The sequence below is a fragment of the Homo sapiens genome, chromosome 6, assembly GCF_000001405.40.
Source record: "Homo sapiens chromosome 6, GRCh38.p14 Primary Assembly".
Lineage (NCBI taxonomy): Eukaryota > Metazoa > Chordata > Mammalia > Primates > Hominidae > Homo > Homo sapiens.
The window spans coordinates 99,484,743-99,511,123 of record NC_000006.12 but is presented as its reverse complement, the minus strand read 5'-3'; the positions used below and the strand labels follow the sequence as shown (position 1 = coordinate 99,511,123).

General features: G+C 37.7%; 1 protein-coding gene across 26 annotated transcripts in view, besides 1 other annotated feature; it reads left to right on the top strand.

Moving 5' to 3' along the window:
* USP45 (ubiquitin specific peptidase 45) overlaps positions 1 to 26,381 on the top strand; it is an 85,522-nt gene that overhangs the window by 6,723 nt on the left and 52,418 nt on the right. For 23 of the 26 annotated variants that reach the window (NR_144344.3, NR_144345.3, NR_144346.3 and 20 more), the window contains exons 2-7: positions 894 to 1,003; positions 2,342 to 2,514; positions 3,593 to 3,696; positions 7,259 to 7,359; positions 22,304 to 22,443; positions 22,829 to 22,924. Coding sequence is in view for 18 of the 26 variants with exons in the window: in XM_005267170.5 (XP_005267227.1) it covers positions 904 to 1,003; positions 2,342 to 2,514; positions 3,593 to 3,696; positions 7,259 to 7,359; positions 22,304 to 22,443; positions 22,829 to 22,924 (714 nt within the window). In the remaining 8 variants the exon portion in view is untranslated. The remainder of the gene's footprint in view (positions 1 to 893; positions 1,004 to 2,341; positions 2,515 to 3,592; positions 3,697 to 7,258; positions 7,360 to 22,303; positions 22,444 to 22,828; positions 22,925 to 26,381) is intronic. The other 3 variants (NM_001346025.3, NM_001346023.3, NM_001346029.3) reach the window with 1 other exon arrangement.
* Positions 25,800 to 25,939: a silencer, noted in NCBI's record as "silent region_17417". NCBI's record gives its function as "represses an Ori minimal core promoter by ATAC-STARR-seq in GM12878 lymphoblastoid cells {active_cell/tissue: GM12878}" and the evidence as "EXISTENCE:reporter gene assay evidence [ECO:0000049][PMID:35858748]".

Genomic DNA, 26,381 nt, shown 5'->3' with positions numbered 1-26,381 from the left:
AACTTTTGTAGATGTTTAAAATTTTTCATGATAAAAAGCTAGAGTGAAAAACCCCCAAAAATGTAGTAGCTTAAAAAGATAGAAATTTAATTTTCTCTTAATATTCCAGTGCTAGTTGTACAACACAGGTATAGAGTGGCTTTACTATGCTTGGCTTACAGCTATCCATTTTTGATCCAGTATGGCTCATCCAGCTCCTACTATTTCCTTGCTAGCAGAAGGGAGGAAAGGGTAAAGAGAACTCATTATCCAGAAGCAATACTTACTCCGTTGATGAAAACTTTAGTTTTGGTCATTCACCTGGACATCATATATTTAGGGGTTGTGTCTTGGTTCAGCCTGGTATAGCAAATTATTATAGACTGGGTGGTTTAAACAACACAGACTTATTTCTCACAATACTGGGAGCTGGGAAGTACAGGGTCAAGATGCTGGCAAATCTAGTATCTGGTGAGGGCCTTCTTCCTGGTTTATAGATGGCCATCTTCTCGTATATCCTCATGTGGATACAAAGGTAGCTTTCTAGCCTCTTATTATAAGAGGCCAGTCTCATTCATGAGGGCTCCACCTACATGACCTAATTACCTCTCAAAGGCTTCACCTCCAAGTATCATCACTTTGGGGATTAGAGTTCAACATATCAATTTGGAGTGGGGACACAAACATTTAGTCCATAATGGTATAGTTGGCAAAAGCCAATGGAATATACCATGTGTATACTGATTTAACAAAGATTTATTTCATTTCAAGTGATGTTCCCCTCTTCTTCCTCTGTTGATTTCCCGGACCAGTTGAAATTGAAGTCATTTCAGTTTTAATACACATTAAATAAAATATAAAATTTTAATTTTGAAGACTAAAATGTATGAATTTTTTTCCCTCAATCCCTTCAGTAAATAACAGATGCGGGTGAAAGATCCAACTAAAGCTTTACCTGAGAAAGCCAAAAGAAGTAAAAGGCCTACTGTACCTCATGATGAAGACTCTTCAGATGATATTGCTGGTAAATTGTGATATATGGCATCCCAAATAGTGTTGAGAAGAAATAACAATGCAGTTGACCCTTCAACAACATGGGTTTGAACGCTGAGGATCAACTTGTACACAAATTTTTTTCCACCAAACCTAGATGGAAAATACACTATTCTTGGGATGCGTGAAAACTGCATACTTGGCAGGCTGACTTCTAAATGCAGATTCCACGGGGCCCACTGCGGGACTTGAGTATGCACAGATTTGGGTATATGTGGGGAGGTCCTAGAACCAACTACCCCACCCCACCTCCCTGCCTCAAGTATCTGAGGGAAGACTGTATATGTTTTTAATTAAGAAATCTGTTACTCTTTATTTTTACTGTTTTCTGCATAAATATTAGAATCACCTTTTCTAGTTCCAAAAAATCCTGTTGGCATTTTTATTAGGATTTTGTTTAGTTTATAACATGAAGTAACTTAGATTGGCTTTTTTTTTTTTTTTGGTCTCTTTCTCATGGCCTATTAAAACCATGTCACCAAGCCACCAGAGCTTGGCAGATGGCTTTTGGGAGCTGCTGGCCTCAGGGCTTGGTTTTCTCTTTAGCCTCATGCTTTTGATTTGGGCCTCTGAGGATTTTCCTCACTTTCTTGCTAGTTCTCTCCATTTAAAGGGATATTTTTAATATATTTTTTCCATTTTAGGTATGCATAGTTGCATACAGCTATACACAAACACACTCACATATGAGTGCCTATGTCTTCTGAAATCCGAATAAGTTCTAAGGATTGTACCAACGTCAGCTTCCTGGTTTTGATATTTTACTATAGCAGTGCAAAACATTAACATCAGGGGAGGCTCAGTGAAGGGTGAATGAGACCTCCTTGTATATTTCTTTATACCTTCCTGTGAATCTAAAATTAGTTCAAAAATTTAAACTCTAATAAATTAGGGACATCAGATAAGGTCCTAATGATATTTAAAGAGATAATTCAGACATCCTTCAGTGCAGCAAACTGGCTATCGAAACATCATCCCATTTTAGTACATGTATAGCTTTGTATAACCACCACCAATCAAGATACTTGACTGTGTCATCACCACTCTATGTGCTGTCCATTTATAGCAACACCCTCTGCCTTGCGTCCATTGCTCCCTACAACCATGAATCTCTTCTCATTCTATAATTATGTTATTTCATGAACATTATATAAATGGAATTATATAGCATATATCTTTTGAGTTATTTTGTGTGTTCAATCTCTGTGCTTTTTAGTTAACAGCATTTAATACTTTTGAGGTTTGCTCAGTAATGGTAGCACTTTGGTGTAGCAAAGAAAATGTTGAGATTTTGTTTTATCTTATTCAGTAGGTTTAACTTGCCAACATGTAAGTCATGCTATCAGCGTGAATCATGTAAAGAGAGCAATAGCTGAGAATCTGTGGTCAGTTTGCTCAGAATGTTTAAAAGAAAGAAGATTCTATGATGGGCAGCTAGTACTTACTTCTGATATTTGGTTGTGCCTCAAGTGTGGCTTCCAGGTAAGAAAAGTATTATTTATATGTGAGTTTGTCTGAAATGTTTTCCTTAAATGCTTATTGTGAGTTGGACTGTTGGTCATGCATAGGAGTTAAGATAAATTTATTCCAATTTAGATAGAAATTTTCCAGGAATGAACTTAAAAATGATTGTTAAGGTAAAGTAAAAGGTATGCTATGTTCAGAAAGTAATCAGGTGTGGTTTATAAATACTTGCAGAGGTAATTCAACCTATTTGCAGTAGTTCCCATATCTGGACCAGTCTTTACCTTTTGTATTTACTTAGGAAATGGATCTACCTTTCAGATTAATTTTTTTCTCTCTCAAAACAGATTATTCTGCTGCTTTTGCAAAGTAATTTAAAATCTTAAAGTTTAAAAGTTATTGATATCTGTAATAAAGGAATTTTTTTAATGAAATTAAAAGTATATACTTTTTTAAAAAAATAAGAGAAATCTTTATTATTTCACACAAAATGTCCAGAAGTAAGGCCACTTCAGGATTAGTTAATTTAATGGAAAGAACATTAAAAACTGAGGTTTATTCTGTTTTCTGCTGTGCCATCCTCAACCTCATGGTTGTGTTCCTCTTAAAAAACAAACAAAAAAAAAGCCTTCTGGAAAGATTCAGCGGATTTGACTTCCCCTCATGTTGCATTAACCAGAATTGCATCTCATTTCTTTACTTACCTAGTGAGGGAAATCGCTATGATTGGTCTGTGTCTCAGTAGTTCTCAGTAGGCTGGGGTGAAGTTGTGTACGGGATTGGGAAATGTGTGTTTGCAGAAGGGCACCACTGGCCTGCCAGGATGCTGGGTGTTCCACAGTGTGCACATTTTTAAATGATAGGGAAATTAACTTTGCCCATGATTGTTTTAGGTAAATACTGTATATTGAGCATGTTAGCCTGTTGGCAAGAAATTAAATTTAATGAGAATCCATATTACTTTTTTGAAACTTTCTCCTCTGGCCTGAAATTAAAAACAAAACTTTTCAGTATAAGTGTGAGTATAATTTAAGTTTTGATTAATTTGAAACAAACATTTGTAAGTCATACAAAATAAAATTCTGTTCATCTTCAGGGATGTGGTAAAAACTCAGAAAGCCAACATTCATTGAAGCACTTTAAGAGTTCCAGAACAGAGCCCCATTGTATTATAATTAATCTGAGCACATGGATTATATGGTAAGTTAAATTTTGTTAGTTCTTGTGTCCACTAACCACAGCCCCCCAATTTTTTTTTTTCTTTAAGCTTTTAAGGTAAAATATTTAAAGATGTTCTATCAGCTTATGGTTTTTTAACCTGAACACAATCTATGGGATACTTCAAGAAAATTAATATTACCTGTGAATATAAAATTTAAATTGGAAAAATTTTAACTATCTCTCTACTTTTTGTTGTTGTTGAGACAGAGTCTCACTCTGTCGCCAAGGCTGGAGTGCAGTGGCGTGATCTCAGCTCCCTGCAATCTCTGCCTCGTGGGTTGAAGCAATTCTCCTGCCTCAGCCTCCTGAGTAGCTGGGACCACAGGCGCATGCCGCCATGCCTGCCTAATTTTATGTATTTTAGTAGAGACAGGGTTTCACCATGTTGCCCAGGCTGGTCTTTGAACTCCTGAGCTCAGGCAATATGCCCTCCTTGGCCTCCCCAAGTGCTAGGATTACAGGCGTGAGCCACTGCGCCCAGCCTTTCTACTTTTCTCTATCATTTTCCTTGTATAATGTAAAGAAAAATTCTTTTTAGTTGATTTTTTTGGTAGTGAACTTGCTAATACAGAATTCTAGTGTTGTAGAGAAGGAAGATACTTCAAGCAGTCAGGTCATTTTCTGAAGGGAGAGGGAAGAGCTGGGCATAAGTAGCTTGTAAAAACTTTTCAGGTCATTCTGCTGTTTAATCCTGGTTGAGAATCTAGTCCAGTTTCCTATGTTACCTGTAAGGAAACTATGTAATATTTACCTTTTTGTGGTTATGAAGTAAAAATCCAGGTACTAAAACAAGTTTTTTGTGGGGCGTGATGGCTCACACCTGTAATTCCAGCACTTAGGGAGGCTGAGGTGGGCGGATCACTTGAGGTCAGCAGTTTGAGACCAGCCTGGCCAATATGGTGAAACCCCGTCTCTACGAAAGATACAAAAATTAGCTGGGCATGGTGGCGCACGCCTGTAGTCCCAGCTGCTCAGGAGGTTGAGGCAGGAGAATCGCTTGAACCTGGGAGATGGAGGTTGCCACTGCACTCCAGCCTGGGTGATAGAGTGACACTCCGTTTCAAAAAAACCAAAAACAAGTTTTTTTATTTTCTAGTTTCTTATTAGCATATCACACTGTTTTGGTAGTATAAATGGACACTATGTTGAAATGCTTCCTCTGTGTTTTACAATAATTTTCCAACTTGAATCTATGGACTCCTAAGGGTTCCTTGAATGAATTTTCAGGAGTCTCAGATTTTCTTTAACATAAAAATATTTTGTCTAAAATTAATATAAGGGTATTTTGGCTCACAGAAGAGGTCATCATCTTTAATACAGCCAGAAGGGTTGGGCACCAGCTGCATTTGTGTTTTTATTTGTTGTTGTGAGTCCCAAGTAGTAGTACTGGGGAGAATGACGAAAGAACAGAGGGAACTTAATATATAAATGATGCATTGGAACCAATGGAGACAGCAATGGTGCCATAGTGTGGCAGTTCAATAAGGATTTCACTTTAGTGGTCTCAAACTCTAGGTGCATCAGAATCTCAGGGAGATCTTGTTATGACAGATTGCAGGATCCCAGTCTTAGAAATTCTAATTTAGTAGTTCTGGGGTGGAGGAGCCAGAGAATTTGCATTTAACAAGCTCCCAAGTGTTGCCAGTGCTGCTGGTCTGTAGACCACAGTTTAAGAATTACTGAATTAGAAAAAGGTGGGTAAGAAGATTGTGAACATGTAATGTAGCATTGGTGTAATGCATTATGTTTTTTTTTTTTTTTTTTTTGAGATGGAATCTCACTCTGTCACCCAGGCTGGAGTGCAGTGGCGTGATCTCGGCTCACTGCAACCTCTGCCTCCTGGGCTGGGAGTAGCTGGAATTACAGGTGCCCGCCACCACGCCCTGCTAATTTTTGTATTTTTAGTAGAGTTGGTATTTCACCATATTGGCCAGGCCAGTCTCGAACTCCCAACCTCAAGTGATCCTCCCGCCTTGGCCTCCCAAACTGCTGGGATTACAGTTGTGAGCCACTACACCCGGCCATAATGCATTACATTTATAAAACACTTTGAACACTTTCCAACACATGTTCTTAAATGATCACTGGATCTCATGAGGATAAAGGAAACAGGTAATTATAATATACAGAAGAAACAAATTAATACGATGTATTAATGAGTAAACTTAATTGAGGGTAGTTTTCTGAATTGGAATGTGCTTTTGAAAATGTCTTTCCTAACCCTCTGCCTCCAAATAAGCGCCAAGCAAAATAGAACAGCTATTTCTTTGAGTCTTACCTATCTCTATATGTAATCAAGCTAGAAGCCTGGCAGTTATTTCCTTCCCCCTTTTTATCTTATTTTATTTTTTAGCCTGTTAACAAAAGTAGACAGAGTGGTATAATGAATTTACCTATACCCATCAACCAGCTTCAGTTGTTGTTGTTGTTGTTTTTCCAGCTTTAAACATTATCAACTCACAGCAAGTCTTGTTTCGTCTAGGCCAGGATTTCTCAATCTCAATACTATTGGCATTTGGACTGTTAATGTTCTGTGATTAATTCCTTGCTGTGCTGTTCTGTACGTTGTTGGATGTTTACCAGCATCCCTGGCCTCTACCCACTTAAATACAAGTAGTGGTCCTCTCACCTCTCACCAGTTGTCAGAACCAAAACTGTCAAATGTCCCCTAGGTGGCAAAATCACTCCTCATTGAGAATATCAGTGATTCTCAACAACATTGAGAATCGCTGACATTGTCTCACTCACTTCTCCCTACCCATGGCAGTTATTTTGACACTTCCCTTTCCCTCCTCTTTTATATCTAATTTGTTACTGTTTCTACCTGCAAATATGTATATAAAGAATGCCCATTTCTCTCCAGATCCTCTGCTACTATACTAATCTGTTTCTCTTCCTAATGCCCTCCAATCCCTCCAATCTAGTTTATCACATTAGTGAGAGTGATGTTTTTAAAGTGTAAGTTGGGGCTGGGTGTGGTAGCTCACACCGGTAATCCCAATACTTTGGGAGGCCGAGGCGGGTGGATCACTTGAGGTCAGGCATTCGAGACCAGTCTGACCAACATGGTGAAACCCCATCTCTAATAAAAATACAAAAATTAGCTGGGCGTAGTGGTGCATGCCTGTAATCCCAGCTACTGGGTGGCTGAGGCAGGAGAGTCACTTGAACCCTGGAGGCAGAGGCTGCAGTGAGCTGAGATTGCACAGCTGCACTCCAGCCTGGGAAACAGAGCGAGACTCTGTCTCAAAAATAAAAAATAAATAAAGTGTAAGTTGGACCATATCATGGCCCTGCTTAAAAACCCTCTCGTGGCATTTCATTATACCTAAGATAAACTGCCAAAACTTTCATTTCAACTGTAAGTCTCTGTATGAATTGTCCTCTGCTTATTTCTCTAGACTTACCTGGTGGCTTCCCCTTTGTATTCCCTCCCATGTAATTTAAAGACAAAAGTAACTAAATACCAACTTTGTTATCTGATGTGCAAAATTATTGAGAATATTTTCATAATATTTTCTTAAATTTTATACTTTTTCAGGTGTTATGAATGTGATGAAAAATTATCAACGCATTGTAATAAGAAGGTTTTGGCTCAGATAGTTGATTTTCTCCAGAAACATGCTTCTAAAACACAAACAAGTAAGTTAAGCGATGACTAAAGGAATCTGTGTTAAAATACAGTATTTCATATAGAGTTCATAAATTCATAAAGAATACTTTAGATTTTACTGTGACAGCCCAGCCAATAATTTGAATAAAGATATTATGAGTATCGGCTGGGTGCAGTGGCTCATGCCTGTAATCCCAGCATTTTGGGAGGCCAAGGTGGGTGGATCATGAGGTCAAGGGTTTGAGAGCAGCCTGGCCAACATGGTGAAACCCCGTCTCTACTAAGAATACAAAAATTAGCCGGGTACGGTAGCACATGCCTGTAATCCCAGCTACTCGGGAGGCTGAGACAGGAGAATCGCTTGAACCTGGGAGGGGAGGCGGAGGTTGCAGTGAGCCAAGAACATGCCACTGCACTCCAGTCTAGGCAACAGAGCAAGACCCCGTCTCAAGAAAAAAAAAAAAAAATTATGAGTATCATGCATTCTTAGGTGGCCACCTTGTTATACGTTTATATAACCAATTTGAGAAACTGAAGTATGTCGTGTCTAGACCATGGGCTTTGAAGTCAGTCCTGATAAGTTTGAATTTAGGCTTCCCCACTTACTGGCCATGGTCACTTTTATTGCTTAGTTTACTTATTTATAAAATTAGGATGATAATTCTGTCTTATGGAGTTACTGTGAGGCCTAGAGATAATATTTTCTAAAGATTTAGCAATAGTGCATGTAAAAATACTTGCATAGTACCTGTATTAGTCTTTTCTTGTATTTCTATAAATACCCGAGATTGGGTAATTTATAAAGAAAAGAGGTTTAATTGGCTCACAGTTCCACATGTTGTGCAGGAAGCCTGCTGCTGTCATCAGCTCAGCTTCTGGGGAGGCCTCAGGAAACTTTCAATCATGGTGGAAGGTGAAGGGGAAGCAGGCACGTCTTACATGGTGGAACAGGAGGAAAAGATAGACGAGGAGGTAGTACACACTTTTGAACAACTAGATCTTGTGAGAACACACTGACTATCATGAGAACAGCACCAAAGTGATGGAGCTAAACCATTCGTGAGAAGCCCACTCCCATGATCCAGTCACTTCCCATCAGGCCCCTCCTCCAACATTGGCGATTACAACTCGACATGAGATTTGGGTGTGGACACAGATCCAAACCATATCAGTACTTGACACATATGTATGAAATGGTGTCTGTTATTTGTTACATAATTGCAGTGTAGTTCTGACACTAACTACTGGGAGTTAGGCCAGACTTCACAGGCTAAGGGCACAGTTGCCCACAGGACTGCCCTCACATCAGAAACTAGCTGCAGGCTTGAGGGTTCCTAGACCACTGAATTTCTGACCAACTGTCCACAAATTTGGGGGTTCCTACCATTTCTTCAGGTTCAGTGATAATTTGCTAGAATGAGTCAGAGAACTCAGGAAAGTGCTGTACTAACAATTATAGTTTTAATATAGCAAAAAAGGATACAAAACAGCCAAAGGAAGAGATGCATAGGGCAAAGTCTGGGGAGGGTCCCAAATGTGAAGCTTCTGTGTCCACTCCAGAGGGAATGAGGATGCATTCTCCTCACTCTCCCCAGCCCATGCATTCGTGTGCACTAATATACACAAGAGTATTGGTAACCAAGGAAGCTCACTGGAGTTTTGGTGTGGAGAGTTTTATTGGGATTTCATTGTGTAGGCATGATTGATTGAATCATTGGCCATATTGATTTAACTCAGTCTCTAGGCCCCCAACATTCTAATCACATGGTTGGTCTTTCTGGCAGGGCCAGGCCCCATCCTGATTCATCTCTTCAGCATAAACTGTCTAGGGGCCCACAGTGAGTCAGTTTGTTGATATAAACTGTCAAATGTGGCCTGAGGGACCCATCATGAATAACAGACACTCTTGTCGCTCTGGAAATTCCGAGGATTTAGAGGGTACTTCCCAGGAACCTGGGGAGAAAAGCCAGCCAGATCCTTTATTATATAACAGTAATGTATTATGTATTTTGTTATTGTATACTTTGTTACCTAACAAATAAATAATACATAACGTATGTTAAGAGTGTATAGGATAATAGTTTCTTCCTCCAAAAATAGTAAGTGCTTCCCACATGCCAGGTATTAAATTTTATTTGGTCTGTAGTATTAGAGTAAAACAAAAATAGTTTTATCTTGCCCTCTAGGCGTTAGATTATAGTGGGAGCAACAAGCAAAAAATGCAAATATATAATGACTTCTGGTAAGTGCTACAAAAGAAAGGAACAGATTGCCGTGCTGGCTAATAATATAGTAGTCACAGTGATCAAGAAAGGCTAATATTGCAGAAACGTGGTTTGTTAGGAGAGAGTGCAAAGAGATGAAGTTACGAGGTAGATGAGCTGGTCATGACAGATACTGTAATGAACTCCATGGTAAGGAATTTTTATTTTTTTGGAAGTGTAATAGAAATTACTAAAGTATTTTAAGCAGGGGGGTATCACGGTAATTTCATATTTTTTTAAAAAAATAAAGATAAGTGATTGCTATGTGGCACACAGATTGTAGGGAGTTAAGCATGGGGGTGGGGAGATCATGAAGAGGGTTAAGGAGGTGATTGTGGGGGGGCAGGTGAGAGGCTGATAGATACTCATGGGGAGTGAGTGGATTACATGTAGTGAGGGAGGGAGAGTGGGAGGAATTAAGTATTAATACAAACCTCAGGATTTTTACTGAACAGCTAGGTGAATGGACGTGATAATTTTGAGTTGCCTTTGAAGCAGAATTGAATTGCTTAGTAGGTGGCATCAGAAACTGAAAAGCTATATAAAAATATAGTTGCCAACTGTGTTTTCTATAGCCCAGTGTACAGCTGTTTTTGTTAGCCATCACCCTAATGAGACAGTAATGGTGAAGGAACTGGAGGAGGAACCAGAGAAGGTAAACTCAGGCTCCTGGACAGCAGTAGAAGTGATTCATTTGATCACTTATCATTTACTTATTCAACAAACATTTATTGAATTCTGTTCTGCAGCAGGCATACTAGTCGTAGCTCCAATTCTGCTCAAATAAAGAACCAGGAAAATATGGTGGTGAAAGACTTGTAACACTACTGGAACTGAAGTTGGTCATAATTCTGTCTGCTGAAAAATGAGCATTAAGTTTCATTGGCCATAATAAGAAGATAGGCAGGGATATGATGGCATGGGTGATGAAAGTACAAGTTTAGAAATTATTTTCTCTGGATTTTTTTTTTACCTTAGAGATTCCCTAAGGTTAAGTACAAAGCCAGTCTGATTTTCATTCAATTTTACTGATTTCTTGAATAAGTATTATAAGAAAGATGCTAGGAAGGGAGCATGGACGGTATGATGGAAAGTACATGGCTTTGAGGTTGGGCACGGTGGCTCAGGCCTTAAACCCAGCACTTTGGGAGCCCAAGTCGGGCAGATCACTTGAGGCCAGGAATCGAGACCAGCCTGGCCAACATGGTGAAACCCCAACTCTACTAAAAATACAAAAATTAGCTGAGCATAGTGGCACATTCCTGTAACGCCAGCTACTCAGGAGGCTGAGGCATGAGAATTGTTTGAACCCGGGAGGCGGAGGCTGCAGTAAGCCGAGATCACACCACTGCATGCCAGCCTGGGCGACAGAGTGAGACTGTCTCAAAAAAAAGAAAAAAAGACAGTAGATGGCTTTGAGTCAGGGGGTCTGGTGTTCAGATTTGACTCTGTCACTAGGTGTGTGACCCCAGGCAGTAATCTGTTTATGCAAGCCTCATTTTTCCTTAGTACTTTATATTTCCAAGGTGCTTCAGGGAATAGAGATTGATAAGACAGTCACTAAATCTTTAAGAGGCTAAAGATCTGAAAGAAGGTGTAAGATTAAACAGTAATGATATGCAAGTAGAGTAAGATTTCTGTTTTAGGTAACAACCAAAGTCCTTCAAATATCCAAAGAGGGATATAATGTTCAGTTGTAGGAACTAAAAAGGAATCATGGATGAGCCGGCTTTCAAGCTGACCCTTAAAGGATGAACTTTGGGCAGGTGAAGATGAGAGAAGAAATCATTTCAGGTGGTGGGAAGCACTAATATAAGCCTTAATTGTGTTTATGGAACCGTGAATAGCACCTGGAGTGGTGGGGCACGGGCTTTTGAGGTAGTTTGAGAGGGAGTGGAGCTTTCAAAGTTTGAGAGATACATAGTTGTTAGTTTAAGGCTTTTGGCAGTTCTAGGGCAAGATGTCATTATCCCTGTGGGTCAAGCTACAGGATCTCTCAGGCAAGTTTGATTTAAAATAATATTCCTTGGCATTCTAGAATAAGTTTTTGGATATAATAGTTTGCCATATTGTGCCTTGTATGCGGCTTCCGTATATTTTTATAAAATATTTGGAAAATCAAATATGAAAGTTTTTATTGAGGTTTGTAAGAATGCCGGATATGATTTTGCACTAAATGGTAATCGTGAAACATTGTGAAAACACCTATTTATGATAAAAGGAATATGAAACTGTATTATTGTGTTTGGGTGAGAGGATAAGTATGATTTTAAAAGGTTATTTTTATATTTTTGTACTAAGTAAAAATAGTTATTGAGAAGAAAGCCTGTGCCTGTATGTTAAACACATTTTGAAGTTATGCATGACCAGAAATTTTCTTTCTCTTTAAAGCATGTCATTAATTCTTTTGTTTCTTTATTCCTTTACTTTTAGGCATCACTATCCTAAAATCATATAGTATATGGGTGGCTCACTCCTGTAATCAGAGCACTTTGGGAGGCTGAGGCAGGCAGATCACTTGAGTCCAGGAGTTTGAGACCATCCTGGGCAACACAACGAGACTTGGCTCTAAAAATAAAAATGAAATAAATACTATGCCATGTTAACACAAATAACATTTGTAGAAAAGATAACTTTCAAAACAAAAATATAATGAGTGGCACTGTCTTGCATTTTTATAAGACTCTTAAGTGTCTGGCTTAGTAGAAAACAGCTGGATTCTCATATCTGCTTCTGCATTTAATCCTTTGTGATATCACATGCCATATGGCCTCTGGAGAACGGCATTGTATAATTGAGAGTGAATGAAAGTAAAAAAAGCAAATAAAATCTTAGGCTTATTATGAAAATACTTTTGACCTTAAGTACCCTTGAAAGAAGGAAGTTGTCTTCTGACCCACTTTGAGAAGTGCTGAACTGTAGCACATTTGTCTTTATATTTTCTGTCTTCAGCCTTACTTATCCATTAAGGCTCAGCTCAAATCCTACTTCTAGGATGCTTTCCCAATCCTTATCTCTTTTTTGGCACTCAGTGTCTGTGCAGCACACTTTAGAATCTAATAACACACTTTTTTGATGTTTCATATTTATGTTTGTACATGTCTTATTTTCTCTCAAGACTGTAGGTTCCTTAAGACTGGACTCTGGATTATATTCTTTTTGATTTTTATGTGGGTAGACAGTAAATACTTGCTGAATAAACCAAATAGAATGTGACCAGTTTTTGTTGAGGAAGTAGATAGATAAGCTTTGCACTTTCACCCTCCAAAATCCTAAATATTAATATCAAAATTATTTATTCAGTCTTTTAATATCTCTGAGTTTCTGCTTTGTACCAGATGCTGCATTAGATGTTGGAGATGCAGTAGTGAATGAGACAGATCTACTTCTAGTTCCTGTCATTACTGATCTTTTGGTCTATTGAGGGATATAGACAAATTGCACTTAGTTATACTTGCCTGTTTAAATAGTGCTGTGATGGAGCAAGTACGAGGGACCGTGAGAACAATTTGGAATAGTACCTAACATTCGACTGGAGGAGTCAGGCCAATTCTATTTAGAAGAATAATCCGACTTAGTTGGAAGCAGAAGAATATCTAGAAATTATCTGGGCAAAAAGGGAACAGATTGTGTGTTCCAGGCAAAGAAAATAGCTCATTGACGAGAGCTCGATAGGTTCAGGCAAGTCTAGACAGCTGAAAAGTTGAGTTTTGTGGTGTAGAAGATGGTGAGAGGTGAGACTTGAGGTAAGTAAGAACAGATATTTAAGGGCCTTGTACAGATAGAATTTGTTCTGAGGGCAGTGAGGAACCACTGTTAAGTTTTAAGCAGAGAAGTGGCTGATCAGTGATTTTGTAGATCTCAGTTTGACTTGTATGGAGACAGATAGGAATGCCTATATATGTATAACTGCCCATTTATTATGTTAATATCAATTTATCATATGACTAAGTAAAGATTTCTAAGGCATAATGGTTAACTGGAAGTTAGTCGATTTTGAGAGTAAACTGGCAAGCTAATTATTATTTGGTTCCAAGCTAGGGGAATTGTGGGGCACCAAGTTGTCTCTTTTTACTCACTCTTTAAATATTAAACTTCTTTTCAGCTGTAGAAATGGGCAGATTACATTAATACTACATGACTGGTTTAGGTAATTGCATTAAGCAGTTGAGATGAACCCCAGCTCAGGTTCCCAGAAGAATGCTTACAGCTGTGTAGATTTCACATCTGATGTTAGGATTTGCTTATAGAAACAAAACTCCCTCTACCTCCCCCTTCCCCATACATGGAATAAAAAGGTCATATATAATGCAAGACTGAAAATGGGCAAATAAGCATTTTTGTGAGTCCCACCCAGAAATAGGTATTGTTAAAAAGTAGACCAGAAAACTGGAGACAGTAAAAAAAAAATCAGTGGTTGAAAGGGGTTGAGGGGAAGAAGGGGTGAATAGGCAAAGCACAGAGAATTTTTTAGGGCAATAAAACTACTCTGTATGATACTATAATGCTGGATCCATGTCATTCTGCATCTGTCCAAATCCATAGAATGTACACTGCCAAGAGTGAACCCTGATGTAAACTAGGAACTTTAGGTGATAATGATGTGTCAGTGCAGGTTCATCAGTTACAATAAATGAAGCATTCTGGTGGGGGATGTTGATAATGGAGGCTATGCATGTGTTGGGGTAGGGGGGATATGGAAAATCCCCATTAACGTATGCTCAGTTTTGCTGTGAACCTAAAACCTGCTTGAAAAAAAATTTTTTTTTTTAAAGTGGGCCATTGTCCTCTGAAAGTCTCAGAGATTTCTCACTTTAATAGTCTTTTAAATGTCATGAAGTGTTCTACAAATATTTAGAGAATCTAGGAATTCCTGGTAAAATCATGTAGTTGAATATTGGTTTATTTTTTGTGAAATAGATGACTGACAATCCCATGTTCTTTTCTAAACCAATGCATTTGGCTCATAATTTTAATATTGATGGGATGCCATTTTTAACAAGGTTAAAGAGAAGACAAAATACTATATCCTGCTGAATTTATTAAGCTCATGCTCCTGGTTTACAATAGACATGAATTATGTGGGTTTTATGAAGTATGAGTTTGCTGTATCTTTTTTTTTTTAAATAAGAAAGTAAGTGGTGGTATGTTTGGGATCTGAAACTCCATCTGAGTATAATATTATGACCTGTTTCAGTAACAATTTGATTACTATTTAATACTTTAAAAAAAAAGGTGATACATGCTGGGCACATGTATGGCTCATGCCTGTAATCCCAGCACTTTGGGAGGCTAAGGTGGGAAGATTGCTTGAGACCAGTTCTTCAGGACGAGCATAGACAACATAACATGACCCTATCTCTATTTATTTTTGTCTGTTTTTTTAAGAGGTAATACAGTTCTCTAAAGTGACAGTCATGTTTCTAAGAAATTTGCATTTTCAAAAATAAGCACTAAAAATCGTTGTTTCAGTGTATACAAGGGGCTAGGTTCAAAAAGATAATGACATTTTAAAAACAACCTATTTTTACATATAGGGTTTTTAATTTGGGGTTCCTCATCGATACTACAAAACACAGTAAAATTATTAGAGTGACTATTTTCTCAGTTTTCCCAAAGATGTCACATAACTAGTATCCTTCCAGATACATAGGGAGATGTTAATTGCATGCAGTGGGTACCTAGGATGTTAGGGTGTTAATTTTTTAAGGAATCATTTGAGAAGGACTGCTACAAACTATGACTAAAAAAGCTATAAATCCAAACACAAAACATGTGCAGCAATGGATTACATACAGCTTTTACTTAAGAGTAATGGCTTTGCTATTCATATCACCACTGGCATTTTGTTAGTGTCTTAAACTACTATCACACTTATAAATTGCATCATCTTTATTATAACAGACAGTAGATAATGTTTAAGTGTGTGAATTCTGAAGCTAGACTGCCCGGGTTTGAATCTTCCCTCAACACTAACCAGCAGTATACCTCAGTTTCATCTTTGAAATGCTTCAGTTCTAAAATGGGGACAGTTATCAGAGGTGACAATTTAAGGGAGATACACTCTCAAACTATCCGACTCTAAATGCAAAATAAGTTCACTTCTCCCTTGCCTATGGGAAGAAAGGGAAGAACCAGTGTTCCCCACTTTTGGTTTAACCAAGGCAATTCACAAATACACCTTTGGGAAAAGAAAGACACCAATTTAGTATTACTTCACAACAAACCCACTATTGGTTGTTTTCAATTTTCTCCTGTGATAAACAAAGCTGTATCTTTGTATACTTGCTCTTTTATTTTGTAGGTGAAATTTTTTTGGAATTTCTTGGCCAAAGTATAAATTTTGATTACTGTTGTAAAACTGCCCTCAAGAAAGCTTGTACAAAGGGTATAGTTGACAATAGTGCCCATAATTCCATATTTAACTTTGTTTATAGTTCAGTTTTGCCATAATGAAGCTTTTAATGTCATTGTTGCCAGGTCATTAGTCTTTTCTGTTTTTAGCCTTTGGGGTCATGCTTTGAAAGTCTTTGCTCTCCAAGATTCTAAAGATATTCACCTAAAATTTGCTGGTACTTTTGAGTTTTTTTATGTTTATGATTTAATATCCTTGAACTCAGTTTTTTTGTTTGTTTTTTGAAACAGTCTCACTCTGTCACCTAGTCTGGAGTGCAGTGGCATGATCTCAGCTCACTGCAACCTCTGCCTCCCGGGTTCAAACGATTCTCCTGCCTCAGCCTCCTGAGTAGCTTGGACTACAGGCAAGCGCCACCATGCCCAGCTAATTTTTGTATTTTTAGTAGAGACGAGGTTTCACCATGTTGGCCAGGCTGGTCTCGAACTCCTGACTTTAAGTGATCCTGCCACCTTGGCTCCCAAAGTGCTGGGATTACAGGCATGAGCCATCACACCCAGCCTTGAACTCAGTTTTTAAAAAGATAGTTATAGGATCTCTAAGTGTTGAAGTAATTTTTATGCTGGAAAAATTTGAGGTAATATCTTAAGTTTTTTTTTTAAAGTTCTTAGACAAGTTGTTTTGTTGTTTATGTTGTTTTGTTTTTGCTTTGCTGGTATTTCAGCCAGTTTTGTCTTTGAAGACTTGAGGTACATGCAAAACCTATCAGTCCTCAATCAGCTACTTTTTGAGGACTCAGATTATAGGCTTAAAGGTAAACTACAGAGATGTACAAGAGCTTTAAAAACTTTAAAGTGCCGAAAGTGTGCTCTCAATGTTCTTTGCATTCCAGGTCTATATTATCTTTTTATGTAAAGGATGACAGTGTTAGTAATATAGAAGTGATAAGTAGAGTAAATTAAATTGCTTTTATTTTTTATTAGTTTTGATTTATTTCCCAAGGTGAGATAAATCCCTTTTAATAAAATAACCTAGCCTGGAAACTTTGTGATTACCTTTTTGACTATGCAGACCACTTTTTTTGTAGGTGTGGGTAAAACTTTAGGAGAACAAAAGAAATGATAATAAAAATTTTGTATAGTTTGTCTTTATTGTTGTAGCAACTTTGTCCTCTTACTTATATCATACTTAAAAACATCTTGAAGTTCATTCCTTATTGTATTTGGTTCTGTGTTTATAAAGGAAGAAGAGAATTTTTAATATCATCTAAAATGTTTGCACTGCCAGATTGAAAAATGCTTTGTTATCTCTGAAAACAAAATGATCAAAATAGTTCTTCAGTAGAAGCTATAAGCTGCTTTTTATTAAAACATACAGGCCAGGCGCAGTGGCTCGTGCCTGTAATCCCAGCACTTTGGGAGGTCCAGGCAGGTGGATCACCTGAGGTCAGGAGTTCGAGACCAGCCTGGACAACATGGTGAAACCCCATCTCTACTAAAAACACCAAAAATTAGCTGGACATAGTGGTGGACGCCTGTAATCCCAGCTCCTCAGGAGGCTGAGACAGGAGAATCATTTGAACCCAGGAGGTGGAGGTTGCAGTGAGCCGAGATTGTGCCATTGCACTCCAGCCTGGGCGACAAGAGCAAAACTCCGTCTCAAAATACATACATACATACATACATACCTGCATGAATGTCAAGTAATTGAGACTGATTCAGACATCCCTGTTTTAAACTAGAATTGTAAACTCTCAGTTGACAGCTTCTTAGTAAACACATGCACAACAAGTATATTTAGTGTCTAAACGTTTTCCTGAGATATTACAGTTATCATAAATTTAAGGCTTGGCCGAGTGTGGTGGCTCATGTTTGTAATCCCAGCACTTTGGGAGGCCAAGGAGGGTGGATCACCTGAAGTCAGGAGTTCAAGACCAGCCTGGCCAACGTGGTGAAACCCCATCTCTACTAAAAATATAAAATTAGCCAGGTGTGGTGGCATGTGCCTGTAATCCCAGTTACTCGGGAGGCTGAGACAGAAGAATTGCTTGAACCCAGGGAGCGGAGGTTGCAGTGCCAAGATCGTGCCACTGCACTCCAGCCTGGGCAACAGAATGAGACTCCGTCTCAAAGAAAAAAAAAAAATTAAGGCCTAAGGTCTCTGCTGTTTACTAGTTTACTATGTATCAATTCTTTATACTCCAGTCATAAATAAGAAATTAGGTGTAAACAGTTATAGTGGTTCATATAGTGCCTGATACACAAAGGGCATTGATAAATCAATTTAAATTGTTACATTTTGTAAATGTACTCCTTAGTAAAATTTAAGACTTACACTTTTATTTTAAGTAAAACACTTAAATAGCTCTTAGAAATGTTATTCTGGCCAAGTGCGGGGCCTCACTCCTATAATCCCAGTGCTTTGGGAGGCCAAGGCGTGCAGATCACTTGAGGTCAGGAGTTTGAGACCAGCCTGGCCAACTTGATGAAACCCCATCTCTACTAAAAATACAAAAAGTTAGGCATGGTGGCGCATGCCTGTAATCCCAACTACTTAGGAGACTGAGGCACGAGAATCACTTGTACCTGGGAGGCGGAGGTTGCAGTGGAGCTGAGATCACACCACTGCACTCCAGCCTGGGAGACAGAGCAAGACTCTATCTCAAAAAAAAAAAAAAATTCTATTTTCTAGTTAAATTATCTGTTTGATAGCGTAGTTAATTTTTAATATTTTCTCACAGACTTACATGTAAAAGTCAACAAACAGACCCTTGGCCACTTGTGTGAAGTGGCTATTTAACCATGAAATAAACTCTTTTTATTGCCACTGCCCTGTGGGTATGTTCTTTCTGGCAGTGCTGTCCATATTTGGTGGCTATGCATGGAGAGCCAGGTGGTGCTGAAAAGCATCACACAGTGAAGCGTGGATATATCTTGGTTTGACATTTGTCGTCCCTTACTGCTGAAGGGAGGGGGAAAATCTGTTTTTCCATATGTTTATGCTTTATTTTGCCTGCAGTTTTGTCCAGATGGTCTTATGAACATTGTTTACTTTGGGATGCCATCCCAGATGTTTTGAAAACTGTTGGATAAATGTGGCACACAGATACATTTGCATATTATGGTTTTTAAAATGTTATGTGTCTTTGCAAGATTAAAATATAATTTATTTCTAGGAGTATTTTCCCAAGTGAATAATGTGTCTGTGTATATATGTATTTTTTAATGTTTTTTAAAACAGGCCCAATAGGCGTCGTGTATATATATTTCATAAGTATATAAAACATATATAGTTATTATCTATAGGTTATTTCTTCCAGCCATTCTGTTTTCATGTTAATAAGCTAAAAAATATTGTGGCAACATTTATTAAGAATGTTAAGTCTGCTTCATGTTTTGGAAGAAGCCAAAAAAAAAAAGATATTTTTGAGGAGTCATATTTGTTTAGGGTTGCATATACCCAAATCTGTAAGAATCTTGACCTACTGTCTTTTATAATTCTTCTCATTGTACATAAATCACTGAAGAGAATTTAGGTGGTAAAATGACAATGAATTTATAATCAGAAGATTATCATTGTGACCTTGGGCATATCACTTAACCTGTTGGAGACTGAGTTTTATAAATGTAAAATCAGAGTTAACAGCCTGAAAAAATTGAGTAATGCTTGGATTTAATTTCTCTCTCATCTTAAATCTCTCAAAAATCACTATGAAACCACCTTTTGGCAACAGCAATAATGAGAGTCTGAACCCATCCTATTCTAGGTTCTATTTACAGTCTCAGATATAAACAAGAAGCAGACTGTTCTGTCTGTAAACCCAGCCAGCATCCATATCAGGGTTCCTCTTGTTTGTGTAGTGCTTCTTAAGTACTGACTGGCTTTTTTCATTTGCTTTTATATTCATTTGAAAACTACCTGGCCTCTTCCCCCTTTTCTTTTTTCCATGCCTGGTGTTTGTACTTCAGTGACCCACTTCATTGATTGTGCTGGCCTTTGCCCCCAAGCTCTAGTGTGGGGTTTATTATTTATTATAATATTTGGAGGACAGGAAAAGAGACCTATCTTGCTAGTTCTTTTCTGCTTTACCTCAGGATTCTGGAGTTGGGAGTTAAAAATAGCTCCTTAATATCTGAACACATTCCAATAACAACCAATAACATTTAAAGAATAAAAAAAACAGGAATAGGGGGAAACCAGTTAATAGCGTTTATAAAAACTATTGTAGCACAGGATAAAAGTTGTTAGAACTTAAAGAAAACTTTTTTCCATGAAATAGGTTTGCTTAATGAAAGAAACATCTTCTGCTGGGCGCGGTGGCTCACACCTGTAATCCCAGCACTTCCTGCTCCTTAGAACAGGGCCACTCCCACTCGGGTTCATCTCCTTTAATGTTGTTTACAGAAGTGGGGCAGGTGTCATAATTTATTTCCTCTTAAGAACTTGTCAGAGACGTAAGAAGCTAACCCACTAGTTCTGCTGTTTAATCTTGCAGATTTTTATGTGTTTCGAATTTTTATTATGAACAGTCCCCCCAGTGCTGTACCCCTTTGGCAGGAAGAGCAAGAGTAAGAGATGTTCCCCTATTTCCATCAATCAGCCAAATATTTATAAGTTAATTAGTAATGCAAGGCAGCATGTCAGTATTAGGTGAAAAAAACATGTAATTGTAAAGAACTATAAAATCTAAGGGCTGGCTGGCTACGGTGGCTCACACCTGTAATTCCAGCACTTTGGGAGCCCGAGGTGGGTGGATCACTTGAGGTCAGGAGTTTGAGACCAGCCTGGCCAACATGGTGAAACCTCTTCTCTACTAAAAAAAAAAAAGAAAAAAAATACAAAAATTAGCTGGGTGTGGTAGTAGGTGCCTGTAATCTCAGCTTCTTAGGAGGCTGAGACACGAGAATCACTTGAACCTGGGAGGCGGAGGTTGCAGTGAGCTGAGATTGCACCACTGCACTTCAGCCTGGGCTACAAAGTGAGACACTGTTTTTTAAAAAAGAAAAAATCTGAGGGCTGAAAGGAATTTAAAAGAACATCTAGTTAAAACTAAAGCATTTCAGAACTTGGGAATTTCTTATCAAACTTCAAATTATCATAATTTTGATTCAGAGAGTAATCTGCTAAATACATGTAGTCAACCATGTCAGTAAATGTTAGGAATTGTTCTTTGTTTTCATATTAGTAAACATGAACTGATAATATAATTTTCTTTTTTTCTTTTGAGACAGAGTCTCACTCTGTCACCCAGACTGGAGTGCAGTGGCATGATCTCAGCTCACTGCAACCTCTGCCTCTCAGGTTCAAGTGATTCTCATGCCTCAACCTCCTGAGTAGTTGGGACTACAGGCTTGCACGCACCACCACGCCCAGCTAATTTTTGTATTTTTAGTAGAGACGGGCTTTCACCATCTTGGCCAGGCTGGTCTTGAACTCCTGACCTCAAGTGATCCACCTGCTTCAGCCTCCCAAAGTGCTAGGATTACAGGCCTGAGGCACCGTGGCCAGCCTAATATAATTTTCAAATCTGCATTAATTATACAAATCTGTAAGCACAAAACATGCACTTATGTGTCATATACTTAGGTATTTTACTTTTTGTATTACAGTGTGGTTCTGTTTATTTTTAAAAAACTTTTAATATGAACATTTTCAAATTCACAGAAATGTTGCAAGAATAATACAAAAATTGCCACTATAGGATGGTGATTTTCCTAATTCTGTCATTTCTTCTATTAGCTGGCATTCTCTTATAAGGAAGTCTCTTCCCTACTTTTTCTCATTTAAAAAATCTGTTACCAATTCAGATTCATTCTGTGAATAATAATCTATTATACTACCCTTACTTATTTTTATGATCAAATTATCTGAATTGAACGAGCTGGTCAAAATCCCTGTGTATTTTGACTTATTCCCAATCACACATTTTGAGCACTTCCTTACTCTCTGGCATGGCAAAATGTTATGGGTTCATTTTGCATCTTTGCTACCCTGGGTTAAGAATCAGCCTTTTCCCCTAGACGTCCTTATTTCTTTTCATGGGTAATGGTATTTAGAAGTTAGACCTTTTCTACTTGTTCTCGACTGTTCTTTTACATTTAGTTTTTTAATTCATCTGCAATTTATTCTGTAATATAGTGTGAGGTGCAGATCTGTATACTAAAGTTTAAATTAATTCCTCTAGCAATAAAATATAAAACCAAAGATAGTTGTGTTTATATTCTTCCCCTTCAGGAACACTGATTCAGGGAGATAATCTTATTTAAATTTAATTTTAAATAATGTATATAAATTATGTTAAGTGACATATTTATCTTTACATCTTGTGTCAGTTATTTTTTCTCTAACTTGTAGGTGCATTTTCTAGAATCATGAAACTTTGTGAAGAAAAATGTGAAACAGATGAAATACAGAAGGGAGGAAAATGCAGAAATTTATCTGTAAGAGGAATTACAAATTTAGGAAATACTTGCTTTTTTAATGCAGTCATGCAGGTAAGAGTCATCAGAAAGCTTTGTAATATGTAAAAGATTCTCTTAATTTATGTAGTCATTGGCTCACCTGTAGACTGTCAAATGACTGCTAAATGTTCCTCTAGAAATTTCTCTGTTTTCCTTTTGTTTACGCTATCTTGGGCCATCACCATATGTATACATGTACCTTATTTTCACACAGGGCTTCTGAAAGGTCTTCTGTGTATTTTACCATGGCTCTATCGGTAATAGTGACCTTTACTAAATGTAAAATGTACTCAACTAAATCTTAATATTTTTTGAAATAGACACTTTTGCTATGCTAGATGAAATTTGAGAGTGTATTCCATAAAATCAGAGGCATATTTTAACTGAATCTGAAGACTTTAATTTTGTTTTCTTTTAGAACTTGGCACAGACTTATACTCTTACTGATCTGATGAATGAGATCAAAGAAAGTAGTACAAAACTCAAGATTTTTCCTTCCTCAGACTCTCAGCTGGTGAGTAATAACTGTTTGAATAATAGCTGCTTTCAGATGAGCCACTGATGTTACCAAAATCTCTTTTCCTAATTCGCAGATCAGTCAACTAAGATAGTAGCCAGGGGGCTTAAAAATAATTTAAAAGCATTCTGTGAAAATAATCAGATTTAAAATTTCTAAAATCATAACTTTAAGGTATGTTATGGTTCCAATATGCCATGGATCAAATAATAAAAAGATATCAAGGCAGCTTTAAAATAAACATACTGGAAGAAACAAAAGAGGTGTGACTTCTATTGAGCAAAATGCCTATAACCCCTATTTTGTAGTTTCTGGTGACATTTGTTTAAATTTAGCATTTTTGTTCTTTAAAGAAAGATGAAATTTTAATAGTGAGCATCTAAAGGTTTTTTTTTTGAGACGGGGTCTCGCTCTGTCGCTGGAGTGCAGGCTGGAGTGCAGTGGCGCGATCTCAGCTCACTGCAAGCTCCGCCTCCCGGGTTTATGCCATTCTCCTACCTCAGCCTCCTGAGTAGCTGGGACTATAGGCGCCCGGCTAACTTTTTTTTTTTTTTTTTTTTTTTGTATTTTTAGTAGAGACGGGGTTTCACCATGTTAGCCAGGATGGTCTTGATCTCCTGACCTCGTGATCCACCCGCCTCGGCCTCCCAAAGTGCTGGGATTACAGGCGTGAGCCACCACGCCCGGCCACATCTAAAGGTTTTTTGAAGCCTAGCCTGATGATAGATTTTTAAGCTAGTGAGAAAGATGAAAAAAAGAGCAGCCCCTGATATTCAGAAGCTGGCCTGGCACCAACAGTTAGGCCATGTTATTCAGATAATCCCACAGAATAACAATCTGATAGTAGGTTTCTCTGAGACTACGATGAAATAAGACAAAGCAAGTCCACTTCATGATTTTGTCTAAAACAAGATCACTTTGCCATTTAGAAAATCTGAAACACCCTCCTTCAGCCAAAATGAGAAATGAAGGAATGCTACTTTACTAGTTAGAGATTTATCCTCATTTTAGTCTCCCCCACCAACTGCCACAATATGTAAGATTTATTGAGATGTCCCATGATAGAATTAGCCTCGCTTTCTGAGGGCATTCACTCTAGAGTAAACCTCTGCTTCCTGAAACCCACCTTCAGGTTATTCAACCAGAGCCTAAATCCTGGGTAGGTTCTTTACAGCACTCTCTTACTAGGACACCCTGTGGTTCCCCATGCTGCGTGATCTCCCTCACTGCCACAAGTAATAAACCCACCTAGTTCAACGATAGGTGTGTTTCTGATGGACTTTGGCTGGGAGGTGTTGATACTAGTAAGGATAATTTTAGTGAGAAATTGATCAGCCTGTGTGTGTGTGTTTGTGTGTGTGTGTAAGTGTGTAAGTCAGAGTATATGTATAGCTCATGATCTGACTTTTGAAAACAATTAAAGAGTTCTAAAAATGCTTAGCCCTCTAAACATGCTTAGTAATCTTAGATTGTTTTTCCCAGTAGGCACTTTTGAAAGACAGTATTGTTTTATATATATATCTTTGAAAGACAGTATTATTATATATATAACATACTGTTATATATATATAATAACCTCCTTTTTATATATATATTTACATGTAAATGTTTACCATATATATATGTATATATAGTCGAAAAGCAGCCTGTAAACATTTGTTCAGCCCCTTAAAAATTTAATGATAGATTCCAATGCCCTATTCTAAATAAAGTGTAGTGAGATCCTTAAAACTACTAAAGGGAAGTTATTGCCTAGTCATTTAAAAAGACCTGTTAAATGTGATTTCCTGTTAAATGCGATTGGATGTTGAGTTTAAATATTTGACATGCAGAGCTGTGTTTCAGGATTACTATATGGCAATTAGATACTGTAGTTAATAACTTTAGGTTTGTATCATTCTAACAGGGTAATTTTGAATCTTATATCTTAGGTTTTTAGGGCATAAAGTTGACCTGAGCTGTGGCACTGTTCTTTGAGTTGGTTACTGCCCTTTGAATCACCAGTTTATCTTTGTCTTTTGTCTATATACCGTTTATTTTTTTATTTTTATTTTTTTACCTTATTGTGCTGGCTCAGAGCTCCAGTAACATGTTGAATAGAGATGATGGGAGCAGTCAGCCTTGCCTTAATCCCAAAATTAGGGGAACAAACATTCAGCCTTCTCCCATTATTACATACGAAGGTACGATTTTCAGAGGTGTTCTTTGTAAGCTTGAGGACATTCCTTTCTATTGCTAGTTTTCTGAAAGTTTTATCGGAATGGATGTTGAATTTTGTCAAATGCTTTTCCCACATCTATTGAGATGATCATATGGTTTTTCTTCTTTATTCTGTTAATGTGGTGAATTACACTGATTCCTTTTTCAAGTGTTAAACCTATCCTGTATTCTTGTTACAAACCCCAGTTATGATATGCTTATATGCTGCTGGATTCAATTTAATATTTATGCGCATATCAACAGTGTGTGTGGAAAACTTTTTATTTAATGAAAATATTCTTTAAAATGTATATTATGAGTGTATAACTTGATGAATTTTCACAGCTAACACACTTGTGTAACTAACACCTTGCTCAAGTAACATTACCAGCATCTGGAAGGCCCCTTCAACTCCCCCCCACATTCACTACTTCCCTAACCCACATGAGTAACCACTAACCTGGTTTCTAACAGGATAGATTAGTTTTGCCTGTTTTAATACTGCATATAAATGGAATCTTACTATATACATTATTTTGCATTTGGCTTCTTTCTGTCAACATTATGTGTGAAATTCATCCTTCTTGCGTTTTCAGCAAACTTTTGTTTTCAAAGTTTAAGTGTATTTTTTATTTTTATTTTATTTATTTTTTGAGATGGAGTCTTGCTCTGTCACCCAGTCTGGAATGCAGTGGCACGATCTCGGCTCACTGCAACCTCTGCCTCGTAGGTTCAAGCAGTTCTCTTGCCTCAGCTTCCTGAATAGCTGGGACTGTAGATGCGTGCCACCACACCCAGCTAATTTTTTTTTTTTTTTTTTTTGTATTTTTAGTGGAGACAGGGTTTTGCCATGTTAGCCAGGCTGGTCTCAAACTCCTGACCTCAAGTGATCCACCTGCCTCGGCCTCCCAAAATGCTAGGATTACAGGCGTGAGCCACTGCGCCAGGTCTAAATGTACTTTTTAAAACTAAGGTTATTTCCTCATCTCATTCTGAAGGTTTTTTATTCTGTCTAAAAAATATTTTCATTGAGAAAAGGGAAGTGCAACTTGGTACTTGAAGTTTAAAATTACCTTAGATTTTACTTTTGACCCTTGAGGTAACTTTCAGTTAACATGGCAGAAAACACTTTAAAAAAAAATAGACTTTATTTTTTAGAGCAGTTTTAAGTTTACAGCAGAAGAGAAAACACTTTTTTTTTTTTTTTTGGAGACAGTCTCATTCTGTCACTCACACTGGGGTGCAGTGGTGCCAT